The sequence below is a fragment of the Homo sapiens genome, chromosome 16 (assembly GCF_000001405.40).
Source record: "Homo sapiens chromosome 16, GRCh38.p14 Primary Assembly".
Classification (NCBI taxonomy): domain Eukaryota; kingdom Metazoa; phylum Chordata; class Mammalia; order Primates; family Hominidae; genus Homo; species Homo sapiens.
In genome coordinates this window covers 53,035,253-53,053,608 of record NC_000016.10, presented here as the reverse complement: position 1 = coordinate 53,053,608, position 18,356 = coordinate 53,035,253, and the positions used below count along the sequence as shown (strand labels likewise).

Here is an 18,356-nt window from a genome sequence, read left to right as displayed (position 1 = left end):
GTGATGGATATAAGCATTACAGAGTTCTATGGGAACGTCTTCACGTTTTCTTGTAATCCTGGCAGTTTATCTCTGTGGCAACATTTGGAGATAATGCCTTCAGTGGAAATTTCAGGTGATTTGTGAAAGTTAGGCCTGCAATCCTCCTTTCCCCCTCCCCCCGGCCCCCACTCTGCTCCCCCAGGACGCTCTGTCATTGTTCTAGCCCAGTGTGAGTTTGTGTGTGAGTGTGTGCCTATTTAACCTTTGGACTCTCTGTACTGGTGTAATCTGGTCAAAGTGAATATCAAGGGCAGAGGAGGACAAGGAGGAGCAGGAGGAGAAGGAGGATGAGGAGCAGGAGGAGGAGCAGGAGGAGGAGGAGCAGGAGAAAGGAGGAGAAGCAGGAGCAGGAGGAAGAGGAGCAGGAGAAGAAGGAGCAGAAGGAGGAGGAGCAGGAGGAGGAGAAGGAGGAGGAGCAGGTGGAGGAGGAGGAGCAGGAGGAGGAGAAGCAGGAGGAGCAGAAGGAGAGGAGGAGCAGGAAGAGGAGGAGAAAGAGCAGGAGGAAGAAGAGGAGGAGAAGCAGGAGGAGGAGGAGGAAGAGCAGGAGGAGGAGGAAGAGCAGGAGGAGGAGCAGGAGGAGGAGGAGAAGGAGCAGGAGGAAGAGGAGGAGAAGCAGGAGCAGGGGGAGGAGGAGGAGGCAGAGCAGGAGGAGGAGCAGGAGGAGGAGGAGGAGGTGTCATCTGTGGACAATACCTGGAAGGGCAAGGGGTGGTGGGTGTCACTAAAAGGAACCAGCCCCAGCTACTTCACTGCAGGCTGGTGCCCTGGTGAAGGTGAATCAGTCAGAGGAGTGCTGACTGCCCATGGTAAGTACCAGCTGCCAGACAATTTCCCATTCTTTCACTTTAAAGTGTCTGAGTCATGTCCAGACCATTCTTGCCCCATCTTTGCAACAGCTCCCTCCCCACCACTGTGCCCCAAAGCATGCCTGGGCAAAGTCCTAGATTACAACCTCTGGATTCTGGCATCACCTGATGAGATTAAGTCTTCCTAGTGACTTTCTCTTCTGAGTTCTCCTGGCATTTTTCTCATTCTGCTAATCACAGTGTTTCTGGAAACTGCAGAGTTATCAACAGATCTGTTTTCTCCATGGAAAACAGGAGTTTTGGTAGGCTGAAGTATGTAAATAACAATAATAAAATATTTATAACGTGTTAGACACTAACAGTTTTCTTTAAGAGATGGGGTCTTGTTCTGTCATCCAGGTGATCATTGTTCATTGCAGCCACAAATTCGAGCTCAAGGGATCTTCCCACCTCAGACTCCCAAGTAGCTGGGACTGCAGGCATGTGCCACCATGCCTGGCTAATTTTTAAATTTTAATTTCTTTTTTTTTTAAGAGATGGGGTTTATTGTTTTTTTTTTTTTTTATGTTGCTCAGGCTGGTCTAGAACTCCTAGCATCAAGCATTTCTCCCACCCCAACCTCCTAAGTAGCTGGGATTATAGACACAAGCTGCCATACCTGGCTCATGCACTAAGGATTTTAGATTGACAATTTAGTTTAATCTTCACAGTAATCCTACAAAGTAGGCACTGTTACTCTCCCCACTTTCTCAGCGAAGAAACTGAGACTTGCGATGTTTAAGTAACTTGCCCTAGGTAGAGGAGTTAGCAAGTAATGTACCCAGAACGTGAATCTGGATTATCTTATTCCAAGGCACATGCCCTGAACACCTCACTACTGTTTACTAAGCACCTACTATGTGCTGGACGCTGTGCTTTATATATGGAACAGGATAGGCAAGGTACTCATTATATATATATATATATATATATATATATATATATATATATATTTATACTTTTAAGTTGTAGGGTACAGGTGCACAATGTGCAGGTTTGTTACATATGTATACATGTGCCATGTTGGTGTGCTGCACCCATTAACTTGTCATTTACATTAGATATATCTCCTAATGCTATCCCTCCCCCCTCCCCCTACCCCACAACAGGCCCCGGTGTGCGATGTTCCCCTTCCTGTGTCCAAGTGTTCTCATTGTTCAATTCCCACCTATGAGTGAGAACATGCGGTGTTTGGTTTTTTGTCCTTGCGATCATTTGCTGAGAATGATGGTTTCCAGCTTCATCCATGTCCCTACAAAGGACATGAACTCATCATTTTTTATGGCTGCATAGTACTCCATGATGTATATGTGCCACATTTTCTTAATCCAGACTATCATTGTTGGACATTTACTCATTTTTATCCCTTTTGCTTTCTTGTTCTGTTCACCCTTTTCTTCAAAGGGAAAATTTTGTTTACTTTTGTTTTTTAAAATAAATTCATAAAATTATGTTATGAGATGTGACCTAATTTTTAGTAAGAAAGGGAATATTTATCTTCTAGAGTGAGTCTCCATTAAAGAGGGTGAGGATCAGGCCAGAGGCAGTGGCTCACACCTATAATCCCAGTACTTTGGGAGGCCGAGGCAGGCGGATCACGAGGTCAGGAGATCAAGACCATCCTGGCTAACACGGTGAAACCCTGTCTCTACTAAAAATACAAAAAATTAGCTGGGCATGGTGGTGGGCGCCTGTAGTCCCAGCTACTCAGGAGGCTGAGGCAGGAGAATGGCGTGAACCCGAGAGGCGGAGCTTGCAGTAAGCCAAGATCGCACGACTGCACTCCAGCCTGGGAGACAGAGCGAGACTCCGTCTCAAAAAAAAAAGAGGGTGAGGATCCTCTGTGGTCTAAAGTGGATGGAGCTAGAAATGGTGGCACTGGAGTCATGGGCAAGATGGTGTCAGGTCCCCAGCAGAAGGCGTAGAGAAGGAAAGAGGGAGAAATGCCAAAGAGACCAAAGGGAAAGGGCCTGGGTACCCGTCCCAGAAGGACACTTGGTCTTGTAAGGCTGGCTTGTGGACTGACTGGCAACTTAACTCTTGAGGTCACAGTGTGTCTATGATTGGTAGGAATAAGACTGGTCACATTCTGGTCCTGGATTGTACCTGCAAACCCTGTCAGGTGTTATGAAGTGTAATAGCAGATGAACTGATTCTGTCTCATTGACTCTTTCCAAAAATCCCAGGAAGCAATTATTTTATTTTATTTTTTTTGAGACGGGGTCTCATTCTGTCACTCAGGTTGGAGTGCAGTGGTGTGATCTTGGTTCACTGCAACCTCCACCTCCCAGGCTCAAGTGATTCTGCCACCTCAGCCTCCCAAGTAGCTGGGACCACAGGTGTGTGCCATCATGTCTGGCTAATTTTTTATATTTTTGGTAGAGACAGAATCTCACCATGTTGCTCAGGCTGGTCTCAAACTCCTGAGCTCAAGCCATCCACCTACCTTGGCTTCCCAAAGTGCTGGGATTCCTGGTGTGAGCCACCATGCACAGCCCAGGAAGCAGTTATTATTATTATTTTGAGATAATACTACTCCTACCCAGGCTGGAGTAGGGTGGAGCAATCTCAGCTCACTGCAACCTCTGCCTCCCAGTTCAAGCGATTCTCCTGCCTCAGCCTACCAAGTAGCTGGGACTACAGGCACCTACCACCACGACTGGCTAATTTTTGTATTTTTAGTAGAGACAGGGTTTCACCATGTTGTCCAGGCTGGTCTCGAACTCCTGACGTCAAGTGATCCGCCCACCTCGGCCTCCGAAAGTGCTGGGATTACAGACGTGAGCCACCGTGCCCGGTCGCAGGAAGCAGTTATTATTAATTACATCTTACAGATTAGGAAACTGAGTCAAAAATGTTAAGCAACTTGCTGAAGGGCATACAGCATGTACACTCTAGAGGTGGTATTCAAACCCAGGCTCCTCTCATGCTGAAACTGCTTTTAACCATGACCACTACCTGCCTTCCCATCAATGACTGGTGAATTAAATTGTACTCTTGGGAAGGGATTTTATATTTGCTCATTTTGGCAACTGTGTCCTTCCCTCTTTTACTAGCTGATATTCTGCGCATCCTTCTAGGTCCAGCTCAAATGTGGCCTGCTCTAGGAAGCCCTCCCCTGTCCCCTATTTCCAGTGTGACATCTTCCATATTAAAGGACTTATTGATGCTGCTAAATAGTATAATTTGCTGCAAGAATGTGGCCTCCTCCAGCAGATTCTATGCCCCTGAATCAGGAGTAAGATCCTCCAGGTGCGGTGGCTCATGTCTGTAATCCCAACACTTTGGGAGACCGAGGCAGGAGGATCACTTGATGCCAGGAGTTCGAGACCAGCCTAGGCAACATAGTGAGACCCCTGTTTACACACACACACACACACACACACACACACACACACAACAGCTGGGGGTGGTGGCACACGCCTGTAGTTCTAGCCACTGAGGAGGCTGAGGCAGGAGGATGGCTTGAGCCCAGAAGGTTGAGGCTGCAGTGAGCCATGCATGATCGCTCCACTGCACTCCATCCAGGCAACAGAGTGAGACCTGATTTCAAAAAACAAACTGGCCGGGCCCAGTGGCTCATGCCTGTAATCCCAGCACTTTGGGAGGCTGAGGCAGGAAGATCTCTTGAGCCCAGGAGTTCGAGAGCAGCCTGGGTAACATAGTGCGACCCCATCTCTATTAAAAAATAATATAAACAAATAAATAAAAAACCAAGAGTCCGATCCATGTGGGTGGTGCTACATGTCTTCTGTATCCACTCTCCATCCTGCTCTGTGTGTTTGGAGCCTGACTTAAATGGGCAACACCAAAGGCTTATATACCTACTAGTTTCAAGCTGGGTTTGGCCAGTTGTATACCTGGGAGAGACCAGAGGCAGGGAGGAGAGTGAGGTTGGGTGCTTATGTCCCCAGCTTCCCTTCTGCAGGGTGCCTTGGGTTGGCCACTCTCCTGACCTATAGTCATAGCTGTTAGGTGACCCTGTGCACACAAGCCCTCTTGGCCTGTAGGCTCAGGCCTCCTTAATTGCGATTAAAGTTCTGTAAACTGCACAGCACCCAAAATGGAACTTTGTACCTTGTGGTTCAATAAAGAGCTGTTGAGCTAAATGAGTGGCAAGCGCTTTTTGTTTGTTTGTTTGAATGAGTAAGTGAGTGAGAAGCAGGAGAGAGAGAATTTTAAATGATCTCGAGTACTAGGACTAGATGGCAAATAAGCCCCCCTAGGGTCCTGGCAAGTGGTTTTTATTTATTTTTGTTGTTTGATCTTTAAAAATTTTTATTTTATTTTCTTTCCTTTTTTGTTTTGGAGACAGGGTCTCACTCTTTAGCCCAGGCTGGAGTGCAGTGGCACAATCTTGGCACACTGCAATCTCTAACTCTTCCACCTCCCAGATTCCAGTGACCTCCCACTGCAGCCACTGTAGTAGCTGGGACTGCAGGCACATGCCACCACACCCAGCTAATTTTTGTCTGTTTTTTGTAGAGATGGGGTTTCACCATTTTGACCAGGCTGGTCTCGAACCCCTGGGTTCAAGTGACTTGCCTGCCTCAGCCTCCCACAGTGCTGGGATTACAGGCATGAGCCACTGCACCCAGACCAAATTTTCTTAATAAACAGTAAATTTGATTTTTTTTCTTTCCTTCCTTCCTTCCTTCCTTTCCTCCCTCCCTCCCTCCCTTCCCTTTCCTTCCCTTCCCTCCCTCCCTTCCTTCCCTTCTTTTTTTTTGACAGTGTCTCTGTCACCCAGGCTGGAGTGCCATGGCACAATCATAGCTCACTACAGCCTGGACTCCCCTAGGCTCAAGTGATCCTCCCACTTCTGCCTCCCGAGTAGGCAGGACTACAGGTGCACACCACCACACCTGGCTAATTTGTGTATTTTTAGTAGAGATGGGGTTTCACCCTGTTGACCAGACTGGTCTTGAACTCCTGACCTCAAGTGATCCACCCACCTCGGCCTCCCAAACTGCTGAGATTACAAGTGTGAGCCACCACACCCGGCCCTACCTCCAAATTTATATGTTGAAACCCTGAACTCCAATGTGACTATATTTGGAGATAGAGACTTTATGGAGGCAATTAAGGTTAAATGACGTCGTAAGGATGGGGCTGAAATCTGATAGAACTGGTATCCTTATAAGAAGAGGAAGGGATATCAGAGCTTTCTCTTTCCAAAAGCACTGAGAAAAGGCCATGTGAGGACACAGTGAGAAGGGGGCCATCTACAAGCCAGGAAGGGAGCCCACACCAGAACCTGAACTTTGCAGGCACCTTGCTCATGAACTTCTAGCCTCCAGAGCTGTGAGGAAATAGATGTCTTGTGTAAGCCACCCAGTCTGTTGTATTTTCTTATGGCATCCAGGGCTCACTAATACAGGTAAATGCCCTATGGTAAATGTATAATTCTTAAGAAACTGCCAAACTGTTTTCTCTAGGGGCTGCACCATATCATGGTTCCCACTAGCAATATATGAGAGTTCCAGTTGCTCCACAACCTCGCCAACATATGACAGGGTCAGTATGTTTTCCAAGAAGTTTTTGTGTTTTTAATGTGGATTTGTGTGTGTGTGTGTGCGTGTGCATGTTTGCTATGTTTTGTGGGTGGTAATGTCTAAGGAAGCAGTTTAAATCTGAAAATATTTAAAATGTGATCTACTGAGGTCCCATCCATCTTTGGGTTGCCCATACCTCATTTCTCTGTTCTTGCCTTTCTTTTGGTCATATTCTATTCCTAGGGCTGTGTACCCTGAGCTGAGCCAGCTAGCAGATCTGGCAAATCACAGTCCTCATCCGAGGTGAATCCATTTCTGGGAGTTGAGGAAGAGGTTGGGTATGGACAGGGCTGGATTCATGGGCCTTGTGCTTCATCTAAAGTTCTGTTGTCACTGTCTTGAAATTCTCAATCATTTCGAACAAGGAGTCCACATTTTTATTTTGCTCTTGGTCCCACAGATTATACAACTCATCCAGGATGTGTCTGGGAGAGGTGGTCACAGGCAAGACAAGGCTTCTTTTTAAAGAAGATTTTTAAATTAAGGCAGGGTCTAGCTCTGTTTACTAGGGTGGAGGGCATTGGCACAATCTTGGCTCACTGCAACCTACATCTCCTGGGCCCAAGCCATCCTCCCTCCTCAGCCTCCCAAGTAGCTGGGACTACAGGCATGCCCCACCACGCTCATCTAATTTTTGTATTTTTTTTTTTTTTGGTAGAGATGGAGTTTTACCATGTTGCCAGGCCGGTCTTGAGCTCCTGGGTTCAAGTGATCCACCCGCCTCGGCCTCCTAAAGTGCTAGGTTACAGGCATAAGCCACCATGCCCAGCTGCAAGCCAAGTTTTCTTACCACATTCATTTTGTAAAGACTCCCTCACCTAATCCCATGGACCTTGCCTCTAAACTGGTCCATGCACAATCCTAGGGTTTCTCACCTTGCCCCTGGGTGCTCCTGCTGCTTGTCTCTTGGGCTGACTTGAGTTAAGCATGATTAATTTGGAGGCTTCAAAGGAGGATTGCTGGCCCTGGATCCCAATATCCAAATAAGGATTTGCCTCAAACAGGGCATCTTAATTGGAAGGTAAATGAAACCTCCCTCTTCCACCTTGACAGCCCCAAAGTATACTTTGGCATTTATGTGGGAGAGGTAAATAGCATCATAATGTATTCTGAATTGTCACTCTGCCAGGCCCTGTTGGCAAGAAGCTTGTTCAAAGAAAGCTGATTTATAGGGGAGTTTTGTGGCATTCTTGCAGATCACTGAATTCCCACACCCAGGGAGGAGGAATGGCACTAACCAGAGGCAGGGGCAGAAAGGGGGTTGGAGTGGGAAGATCACAGGCTCTGGAGCCAGTGGGACCTGTGCTTGCATTCTGAGCTGGCTGCTTACCAGGTTTGTGACCCCAGGTAACCGACCTAACCACTCTGGACTCAGTGATTTGAACTCTAAAGTGGGATTAATAATACTTCCTTGTAGGACTGTGTGATTGGGAGGAGTAACCAAGAAGGTCTGTGTAAAGTGCCCGAGGCCGGTATGCACCTGCCCTCCACAAGTGAATCCGAGTCAATGTCACCTTTGACTGCTGTGTGCATACACAAAGAATCATTGTAAATGTACTTCTCTGAAAAGCCACTTCACAGTCCTGCGTGACCCTCCATCTAGCTTCCTAGGAGCTGGGTCAGGATTATCAGTCCCCTACTAGAGTTAGGAAAAGGAATGCTAGGTGATCAGAAAATAACATAGGGTCAACTATAGAGCACAAGAGTTCCAAACTCCAGTTCCATAGAACACGAGGCTTCACTAAGGAAGTATTCACATCAGAGATTGCTCACAGCTGCAAAAACCTTTACCCATGTGTCCCAGATTAAAAGCACAATAACAGCCTACAAAGTGGATAACATCTGTCATGGTGTGTGAAGATAGCCTGATGGGGTCTTCAAAACAGATAAGATTAGCATACTGATAAAGAGACAGGATGGCTTATACCTGTAATCTCAACACTTTGGAAAGCTGAACAGGCAGATCGCTTGAACCCAGGAATTCGAGATCAGCCTGGGCAACAAAGTGAGAACCCCACCACCCTCCAACTCCCGGCACCTCTACAAAAAAACAAAACAAACAAAACTTAGCTGGGCATGGTGGCATGCACCTATAGTCCCTGCTACTTGGGAGGCTGAACTGAGAGGATCACTTGAGCCTAGGTTGAGGCTGCAGTGAGCCATAATTGCACCACTGCACTCCAGCCTGGGCAACAGAGTGAGACCTTGTCTGAAAAACAAGTAAAAAAAAATAAGAAAGTAAAATATAAGAGGTTGGAAGGCAGGTGACTTGGGTTCAAATCCCAGCTCTCCTATTTGCTGGCTGTTAGAAACTACCTCAGACAAATTACTCAACCTCCCTGTGCCTCAGTGTCTCCATGTGTTAAATGAAGATTAAATAATACACCTACTTCTTAGGGTTGTAAACAAATAATGGATGTGAACTGTTCTTGGCACAGAGTAGTAGTACCCAGCATCTATTAGCTAGTTATTTTAATGACTTACCTGTTTGGGTAACCCTGGGAGTCCACGGTCCTAAGACTCCCTATTCCTCAACAGTGGGTGGAGTTGGCATTCTAGGTTAAAGGGTGGTCTCTAAGTAGGGGGTGAGTCCCAGGAACTTAATGTGGCCCTGAGATACAAGGCAGGCTACAGCCCGTTGCATAGTGACAGGGCTTGTTTTGCATGTGAAGATAGGGGCTGGTGTTTACAGGTAACTAGGAGGTGGTGGTGGGATGATTTGTAAGTTACAGATTAAACAAAAGGGAATTCTTCTGGTGGAATGAATGGGGCACAGTGCCTGGAATTGGCCAGGTTAGCCGGAAGGGCAGCTCTCCAGGCCCTGCCCACCCCACAGGGGGCTCCTTATGCACAGCGGGGCGTCTCCTTGTGGCCATAGAAACGGAACTGGCTCTTTTCAACAGTGCTGCAAGAGGATGGTTATTTAACGCTGGCCCCCAAGGAGGAAGGCACAGACCTTCCTCCTCCTGGAACATCCAAGGGCACTGGATCCTCTGTGTCCCTCTGAGATGGGGTGCCACTCCAGCAAGAGCACCACGGTGGCAGCTGAGTCCCAGAAGCTTGAAGAAGAGCGCGAGGGAAGAGAGCCAGGTCTGGAGACCGGCACCCAGGCAGCAGACTGCAAGGATGCCCCGCTGAAGGATGGAACCCCTGAGCCAAAGAGCTGAAATGCCTCTCTCCAGAGTCGGACCCTCACCTCCTTCCTGGAACTGCCTTTGGCCCCAGAACCATGAGACAATCCCCACCCTGAGAAGCTCCGATCACTGGGAGGAGAGAGAAAGCCTCCAGCTTTGGGATTCAGGCTTCAGAAGTTTTTAGCAGCCTTTGCTCATTGGAGAGGTGGGGAGGATAAGTCTATAAGGAATCCTATTTCCCCAGCTCTCCCACAGAGAGGACAAAAGAAGTCTTCACACGTTGTGGAACTTTCCTGCAACTTCTGGATGCAGACAAGCCTCAGAGCAGACTGTTCTGGCTCCAGTGAATATCGGCTGCCAAGCTGTGAGCATCCAGGGATCCCCGTCTGCCTGGCTTTCCTGAAGTCAGAAGGCGCCTTGGTCATACTGTGTGGGGTGTGTGGATCTCAGTTTGCTCTCTTTCTTTCTCCTTTTTTCAACAGCTGGCGGAGTAGCCAACACCCCTGACAGCAATGTGTTGCACTTGGCTCACTCCACACCCTATGAATAATTTTAATATTTAACTTGAAATGTTGTTAAGAAACTATGGAAAATATCAGGATCCCACTGGGATCCCGTAAATTGAAGGCAACAAGGTCTTGGTCCTCCAGTAAGGGGGGCATGGAGCCCTGGTGGGAAGGAAAGAAGAGAAATTTGTGTTCCTGATTCCTTAATCCCCAAGAAAGGTCCCTCTGCTAACATTCACATATCTCTTCCTAGCCAAAGTCTGTCCATTTCAACCCTCTAGCATCTGAGCTATCTGCATCCAGCTTTCAAAAATATTTCGCTGTTTACTAACATGTCTGTCAGCCTCTCTTTTCTCCCCCGCATGTGTTTTGTTTTTAAATCCACTCAAAAGCGTTTTCATTTGAAATCAAATAGACATGTTTGCAAATAAATGTTGACACAACACATTTGAAAGACAGAATTGGGGATCTGAGATTAAGAGTATCAGCAGAGAAGAGTGGGTGTAATTCTGTGGAACAGGAGTGAGAACAGAGGCGAGGGAGCCGTTGCTTTGTGCCAGGCGCCATGCTGAGGACTTTCCATAGACGGTTTAATGCCACCCAACTACTCCCATTTTATAGATGAGGAAATGGAGGAAATAAAGTCACTTGCCTGAGTTTGGGCAGCCAGGAAGGAGCAGAACCCACAGTTGAGCCCCAGCAGTTTGGCTTGGGAAACGCATGTAGAGTGCTTCTTAAAGCAGAGAGCCTTTCTCATGATTAAACTGAAATACTAGTCCCTTTATAGCCTGTGCATAGTGAGGACCATTTTTCTTTATTCACTGAGACCTACCTGCCTATTGAGAAGTATGTAACCGGTCAGCTTGGAGTTGCCCCACTGCAGGTTGGGTGATGCATTGAGGGACTTTTTATTTTTACTCTGGTGGTGGGGGACGGGGAGGGAGGAAGAGACGGAGAGGGAAGTGGGAGAAGGGAGGGAGGGAAGGGAGGAAAGATGAAGAAAGGGAGGAGGGAGAGGAGGGGGGAAGGGAGAGAAAGAGGAAAGAGGTAGGGAGAGGGAGAAGAGGAGGGAGGAGAGAGGGCAAGAAGAAAAAGGAGGAGGGGAAACAGAGGAAGAGAGGGAGGAGGGAAAGAAGGAGAGGGAGAGAAAGGGAAGAGGTAGGGAGATGAAAGAGCGGGGAGAGGCAGAATGGGAGAGGGAGAGAAGGAGAGGGGAGACGGAGGGAGGAAGGGAGAGAAAGGAGAGGGGTGAGGGAAAAGGGGTAGGGAGGAGGGAGGAAGAGAAAAATGGGGAGAGGGTGGGCGAGAAGGAAAGGAAGAAATCGAGGAAGTTGGAGGAATGAGGGATGAGGCAGGGAGGGAGAAAGGGAGGGCGAAGCAGTAAGGTGCTGCAAAGGACCCTTCTTTTTGGCCATAAAAACCTGAGAAACTGATTGAGATTCTTTTGAGCAATAAGGCAACTGCGGTGAGGAAAAAATAAGGAAGGAGGCACAAAAAGCAAAGCAGTTCAGCCTGAAATTGACTACAGAGCTTCCCTTTGCTTCAGCAGAGCCTGGAGGAGCAGGAGGGATGGGGGCCCTGTCAGCTGGCCCAAAGCCCTGCCCTGTCCCAGGGGTGCTAAGCTTGCTGCAGGCCAGGAAACAGGCCTGGGCTTGCAGCTGGGGATCAGGAAGTTTGGGGCCTCTTTGCACAGCTTACTGGGGATAGGCCAAGCTCTGGGAACTCCTTTCAATTTTTTTTTTTTTTAAGACAACTCTGTTTTTCTCCCTCCTCCCTACTAGTGGAAATTTACCTTGCAAAACAGGACTGTGCATGGTGAGAGCTGCTTGCAATGTCCACACTCAGGACTCTATGGAAAGAGTTCGCAGCTGGTGGTGAGGCTTTGAGGTGGGGCTGCCCTTATTTCACTAGCTCCTGAGGGGCAGAGCTCACTCAGCTTTTTACCAAATCAAAGGAAGGAAGCTTTAGGTCCTTCGAAGTTCAGAACCAGGGTGGTTTGTTTTGCTTCCTTTTGGAATGGAATAAAATGCTCATTTAATTAAATTCAAGTTCTCTGAGGGCTTTTAAAAACAGAATTCTTCATCTACCTCCAGCTGTGGCAGGCATGCTGCAATTTACTAGGAAGTTAATCTCTAACAGAAAAAAGTACTCAGTTTCCTTTTAAGGACATTCCCGTTATCCACTGGAGCCTAGCATCACTCGTCTGTCTCCCTTTGAGGTTCGAGAATTTCTAAAGTGCCTGGTAAAAGTGGTTAGGATTATGTCTACTGAAATATAACTTTAACCTCTGGAAAAACAGGCCTGCAAAGGCCAACTTCCCAAACTGCTGGAAGAGGAGAGGTTTATTAGTTAACGTATCTATCCATCCATCATCCATCCATGCCTCCTTCCTTCCTTTCATCCAGCCATCTATCCATCCATCTTTCCATCCATTATCCATCATCCATGCATCCATCCACCCACCCATCTGTTCTTCAGTCCTTCCATCTTTCTTTCCATCTGTCCATCCATCCTTTCATCCATTATCCATCCATCCATCCACCCATCTGTTCATCAGTCCTTCCATCTTTCTTTCCATCTGTCCATCCATCCTTTCATCCATTATCCCTCCATCCATCCACCTATCTGTTCATCAGTTCTTCCATCTTTCCATCCATCCATTCATCTTTCCATCCATTCATCTATCCATTTATTCATACATTCAGCTCTTACCCTGGATTTTTTAGTTACATGAGGCAATACATTTTTTGCTTTTAACCAATTGATTCATTCAACAAATATTTGTTGAGTTTCTACTCTATCACTCATCATTCATTCATTCCTGTATTCATTTATTAATTCAGTGTTTACTGGGCAACTACTCTATGCCAAACTCCTTAGTGTTCATAAAATGTTCATAAAGTGCCATCTTTGTGGGAGTACCGCCTGGAACAGGGTGGTCCAGGGAGATCTTTCCAGTCTCGATGAGACCCAAGAGCTTTCAAGAGTAAGTTGGAATTAGACAAAGAGGATGGTTATTTTGGAAGCGAATGTATGACCTGGAGTTGGATACAAGAACTGCATGGGGCACAATGTACAGTGTAATAGGAGCCTAAGGTGCCCACGGCACAGGGACAGGGAGGTAAACCTTGACAAGTAAAAAATCAAATCAGGGGCTGGGCACAGTGGCTTACACCTGTAATCCCAGCACTTTGGGAGGCCACGGTGGGTGGATCATGAGGTCAGGAGATCAAGACCATCCTGGCCAACATGGTGAAACCCCGTCTCTACTAAAAATACAAAAAAAAAAATTACCTGGGTGTGGTGGTGCGTGCCTGTAATCCCAGCTACTTTGGAGGCTGACGCACGAGAATCGCTTGAATCTGGGAGGCGGAGGTTGCAGTGAGCCTAGATTGCACCATGACCATGCACTCTATCCTGGCGACAGAGTGAGACTCCGTACCAAAAAAAAAGGGATCAAATCATGAAGTGCCTTGTATTTTATACTGAGAGCTTGAGAGTTTATCTTGATGGGCGCAGTGGGGTGTCTTTCGGCAGAAGAATGATGCTAGGACGTCAGTGGCTTTTGACTGGTTAGTATCCTGTTTTTTTAGTAACAAATCTTATCTTTTTCCTCATGGGGAACCCTTTCCTCACTCTCAGTTTACATGATTGGGTGGGGCTGATCCCATTCTTCAACGTCAGCCTGAGCACTGCATAGCCCCTGTCAAAGTGATAGGTTCAAGGGCGGGTGTAGAAACCCAAACTAGTCCACTGAGAGTCTTCTTTGAACTTTTTTTTTTTTTTGAGATGGAATCTCTGTCACCCAGGCTGGAGTGCAGTAGCACAATCTTGGCTCACTGCAACCCCTGCCTCCCAGGTTCAAGCGATTCTTCTGCCTCAGCCTCCCAAGTAGCTGGAATTACAGGCACCCACCACCACGCCCAGCTAATTTTTGTATTTTTAGTAGAGACGGGGTTTTGCCTTGTTGCCCAGGCTGCTCTTGAATCCCTGACTTCAGGTGATCTGCCACCTCGGCCTTCCAAAGTGCTGGGATTACAGGCGTGAGCCACTGCGCCCAGCCTTCTTTGAACTTTTAATTGAAGCAATTAGGAAAGGAAAGTTCACCTTCTTTTAGAATTAATAAAATTGTAGGATTTGGCCCTGGAAACTCTTAACCACTGAGAAGGGACTGCTTGAGAATGAAGCCACAGAGCAGAGTGGAGCAGAGTGGAGAGAAGGAGAGACATCGTCCTGATCAACTTGTTTGGGCAACTGGATCCAGCCATGCCAGAATAATTCTTCCCCTAGAAGATTCACAAGCCAATAAACTCACTCTTTTTGTTTGTTTGTTTACAGTGGTTTGAATTTGGTTTCTGTCATTTTCAGAGAGATCTGAGTAAATCAGATCCACTTAGATTTGTATATTAGGTAGAGCACCCTGGTAACTGTTTAGAGGATGGAGTTGGGAGGGATAAAGCTAGAAGCATGAATACCAATTAGAAGGCAACCTAGGAAAAAAAAAGCATACAAGGAGGGGCAGGTTTAAAGGGAAGATGAGGGGTTGAGTTTTAGGGGTGTTGAGTTTGAGGTGCCCATAGGACAAAATGTAAATAATGATTGCAAACACTTATATCACTCTTACCATGTCTGAGCATTGTTCCAAATGCAATACATATAGAACTCATTTAATCCTCACCATCACACTGTGCTCATTTTATAGATTAAAACACAGGGAGTTTTAATCCATTCACTGATCCCAACTTGCTCCTTGGCTGTAAATTCCCACATTTCCTTGTTGTATTCTGAATTAAGCCCAATCTCTCTCCCCTACAATAAAACCCCGTTGTTGTACAGGGGGTGCAGGGGGGGTGTGATGGTTAATTTTATGTGTCAAGACTGGGCGCAGTGGCTCACACCTGTAATCCCAGCACTTTGGGAGGCCGAGGTGGGCGGATCACTTGAGGTCTGGAGTTCGAGACCAGCCTGGCCAACATGGCAAAACCTCGTCTCTACTAAAAATACAAAAATTGTCCAGGTGTGGTGGCACGTGCCTGTAATTCCAGCTACTACTCGGGAGGCTGAGGCAGGAGAATTGCTTGAAACTGGGAGGCAGAGGTTGCAGTGAGCCTAGGTCACATCACTGCATTCCAGCCTAGGTGACAGAGTGAGGCTCTGTCTCAAAAAAATAAATAGATAAATAAAATTATGTGTCAGTTTAACTTGGCTAAGGGATGCCCAGATAGCTGGTAAAACATTATTTCTGGGTGTGCCTGGGAGCGTGTTTCTGGAAGAGATTAGCGTTTTAATCAGTAGACTGTGTCAAGAAGACCCACTGTCGTTAATCTAATCTGTTGAAGGTCTGAATACAGCAACAAGGTAGAGAATTCTCTCTCTTTTCTTGAGCTGGGACATCCATCTTCTCTTGTCCTCAGACGTTGGAGCTCCTGGTTCTGGGATTTTCAGACTCCAGGACTTAGACCAGTGGCCTCTCTGGTTCTCATGCCTTCCGCCTCAGACTGAATTACACCACTGGCTTTCCTGGGTCTCCAGCATACCAATGGCATAACATGGGACTTCTTGGCCTCCATAATAATGTGAACCAATTCCCATAATAAATCTCCCCTTATATATCTCGATATATTCTGTTGGTTCTGTTTCTCTGGAGGACCCTGACTAATATAGGGGGTTAACTAGTTCTTCCAGCTCTCAAGGACACAGCTGGGGCTTGCACTAGGCAGTTTGCCTTTAGAGGCTGAGACTTGAGGAATTCATTTGGGAATTGTGGGAACCCTTTTGGACCTCCAGGGTTGCTGTAAAGTTTATTTTAAGGTGAAAATATTTGACCTGCAAAAGGTGTAGAAATAACTCTTATCTGAACTTCCCTTATCTGACAAAAGCAGAGCCTCCCAAAATTACAGCTCCATTAACCCCACTCTGGGGGAGTTTACTGCAGATTTAGCTGCCAAGAAGGCAGATTGCCCATTTATTAGCAACAAAAAGCCCACTAGGACCTTCCACACTCCCTCATTGAAGCCCTAAAAACCTCTCTCTTTTGTTAAGTTGATAATACAAACTTTTCCTTTGGGCTATCCCATGAGTTTTCTATTATGGAAACTCCGATATGCAAGTAGGAAAAAAAATCCTTGTTAACTGGTCCTTTCTCAGTTAAATTTGTGGGCCTCAAACTGCTGAACCCAACATGGAAGAGGAAGAATTTTCCTCCCAACAGAGTCATCAGAACACAGCGGCAGCTAAAGCCCTTGTTGTAAGGGAAGAAGCTGAGGCACAAAATATAATTTTAAAGCATTTGAGGCCAGGCGCAGTGGCTCACGCCTGTAATCCCAGCACTTTGGGAGGCCGAGGTGGGTGGATCATGAGGTCAGGAGATCAAGACCATCCTGGCCAACATGGTGAAACCCCATCTCTATTAAAAATACAAAAATTATCTGGGTGTGGTGGCGTGTGCCTGTAATCCCAGCTACTCAGGAGGCTGAGGCACAAGAATCCCTTGAACACAGGAGGCAGAGGTTGCAGTGAGCTGAGATCGTGCCACTGCATTCCAGCCTGGTGACAGAGCAAGACTCCATCTCAAAAAAAAAAAATTTGATGAAGCCAACGTGAGGACAGCTGCCCGGGAAACACTTTCAACTTGGCTTGGGCAGTGTTCCATTCAGCCCAGGTTACAGTCAGGTTTCAAAAGGCAAAAGGGAACAAGGGGTGGGCGGATACAAAGTTGTCTGACAGGAATTCTCATTGGCTTAGGAAATAACATTGATTAGTGATTAGCTTTAAATGTTGAACTACAGGGTATGAGTTTTGGTGTCTAGCCTACGGCACTGTGTGGTTAATTTTATGGCTGCTTGGCATCAATCTAGAGCCCACATAGCAAGTGGTTCCAAGAGGTGGTTACTTGATTCAAGGCAGGAGTGAGAGGTGACTGCCACCACACTTCAGTGCCCTCTGGGTCTGATAATTTGGAGGGGCTGGCATTCCTCAGGTACAGTAGATAAGGTGCCTGCATTCTCTCCCCACACACATATACCCTGAGGGGAGGCACTGCTTGGAGCAGAAAAGCATCTATCAAGGACAAAACTCTGGAAAAACCAACATGTAAAGGGCAGGTGGAGTAGATAAGCTGCAAAGGAGCCAGCGATGGACTGGGGCTTGGATTGATGGGAGACGGTGACCAATGGCTTCTGCTCACGGAACATTCACCAAGTGCCAGGCATTGAGCTCAAAGATGCTTTATAAATGCTATCTAATTTGCTCCTCACAAAAGGTCTACCAGGAAGGTAAAATTCATACCTTACGGGTGAGACAGCACATTTATGAAGGTTGCATGAATTGCCCAAGTTAACATAGCTAGTTAGTGGCAGAATAGGAATTTGAGCTCTAAAGACCAGGGTTTTAACCACAGCAGCGCATTGAATAGTCTCCTCCCAAACTTCGTGTCCACCTGGGACCTTTGAATGTGACCTAATTTGGAAATAGGGTTTGAAGATGTAGCCAAGTTAATATGTGGTCATGCTGGATTAGAGTGAGCCCTAAATCCAATGACTGGTGTCTTTTTTTTTTTTTTTTAGAAAGGGTCTCACTCTGTCACACAGGCTGGAGTGCAGTGGTGTGATCACAGCTCACTGCAGCTCCAAACTCCTAGGCACAAGTCATCCTCCCACCTCAGCCTTCCAAGTGGCTAAAACTACAGGCATGTGCCACCATGCCTGGCTAATTTTTAATTATTTTTTTGGGAGGTGGGGTCTCACTATGTTGCCCAGGCTGGTCTCAAATTCCTGGGGTCAAGTGATCCTCCTGCCTCAGCCTCCTAAAATGCTGATATTATGGGTGTGAGCCACCACACCTGGCTGACTGGTGTCTTCATGAGAGAAATGGGAGGATTTGGACACAGAGACATAGAGGAAGAAGACCATGAGAAGATGGAGGCAGAGATGGGAGTTATGCTGCTACAAGCCAAAGAACAGCTATAACAAAGACTCCTTTGACCTAATTCTGGTCGCACTCCTCTAAGCCCTCAAGGCCCTGACCTTTGGTCTCCGCATCTGGCATGTGTAGTCTAGTTCAGCTGGATCAGTTTAGTGAAAATCCCCCATTCTTGATATCTCTCTCAATATCTTACCCTGGCCTGCCTTCATCAAGAATCTGCTGAGTCAGTCTAGCAAGAATACCCCTTTATCTCTGATGTTTCCTCTCAGTGATTTTTCCATTCACCAATCCCCAACTTGCTCCTTGGCTGTAAATTCCCACATTTCCTTGTTGTATTCTGAGTTGAGTCCA

At 46.8% G+C, this 18,356-nt stretch overlaps 1 protein-coding gene across 2 annotated transcripts, besides 1 other annotated feature; it reads left to right on the top strand.

Moving 5' to 3' along the window:
* Positions 1-711: 711 nt before the first annotated feature.
* On the top strand, positions 712-17,919 carry CHD9NB (CHD9 neighbor). 2 transcript variants are annotated; one of them, NM_001396020.1, is made up of 3 exons: positions 712-848; positions 6,326-6,404; positions 9,346-12,125. In NM_001396020.1, the coding sequence occupies exon 3, from the start codon at positions 9,451-9,453 to the stop codon at positions 9,607-9,609; it is 159 nt and encodes a 52-aa protein (NP_001382949.1). In that variant the 5' UTR covers positions 712-848; positions 6,326-6,404; positions 9,346-9,450; the 3' UTR covers positions 9,610-12,125. The 2 variants fall into 2 exon arrangements, 1 of the variants encoding a protein (NP_001382949.1); NR_136518.1 differs by lacking the exon at positions 9,346-12,125 and adding an exon at positions 17,648-17,919 and having other exon boundaries at positions 736-848.
* Positions 8,542-9,407: an enhancer, noted in NCBI's record as "NANOG-H3K27ac-H3K4me1 hESC enhancer chr16:53078114-53078979 (GRCh37/hg19 assembly coordinates)". NCBI's record gives its function as "activates a minimal SCP1, AML or CMV promoter by ChIP-STARR-seq in naive H9 embryonic stem cells {active_cell/tissue: H9 hESC(naive)}" and the evidence as "EXISTENCE:reporter gene assay evidence [ECO:0000049][PMID:30033119]".
* Positions 17,920-18,356: the final 437 nt, after the last annotated feature.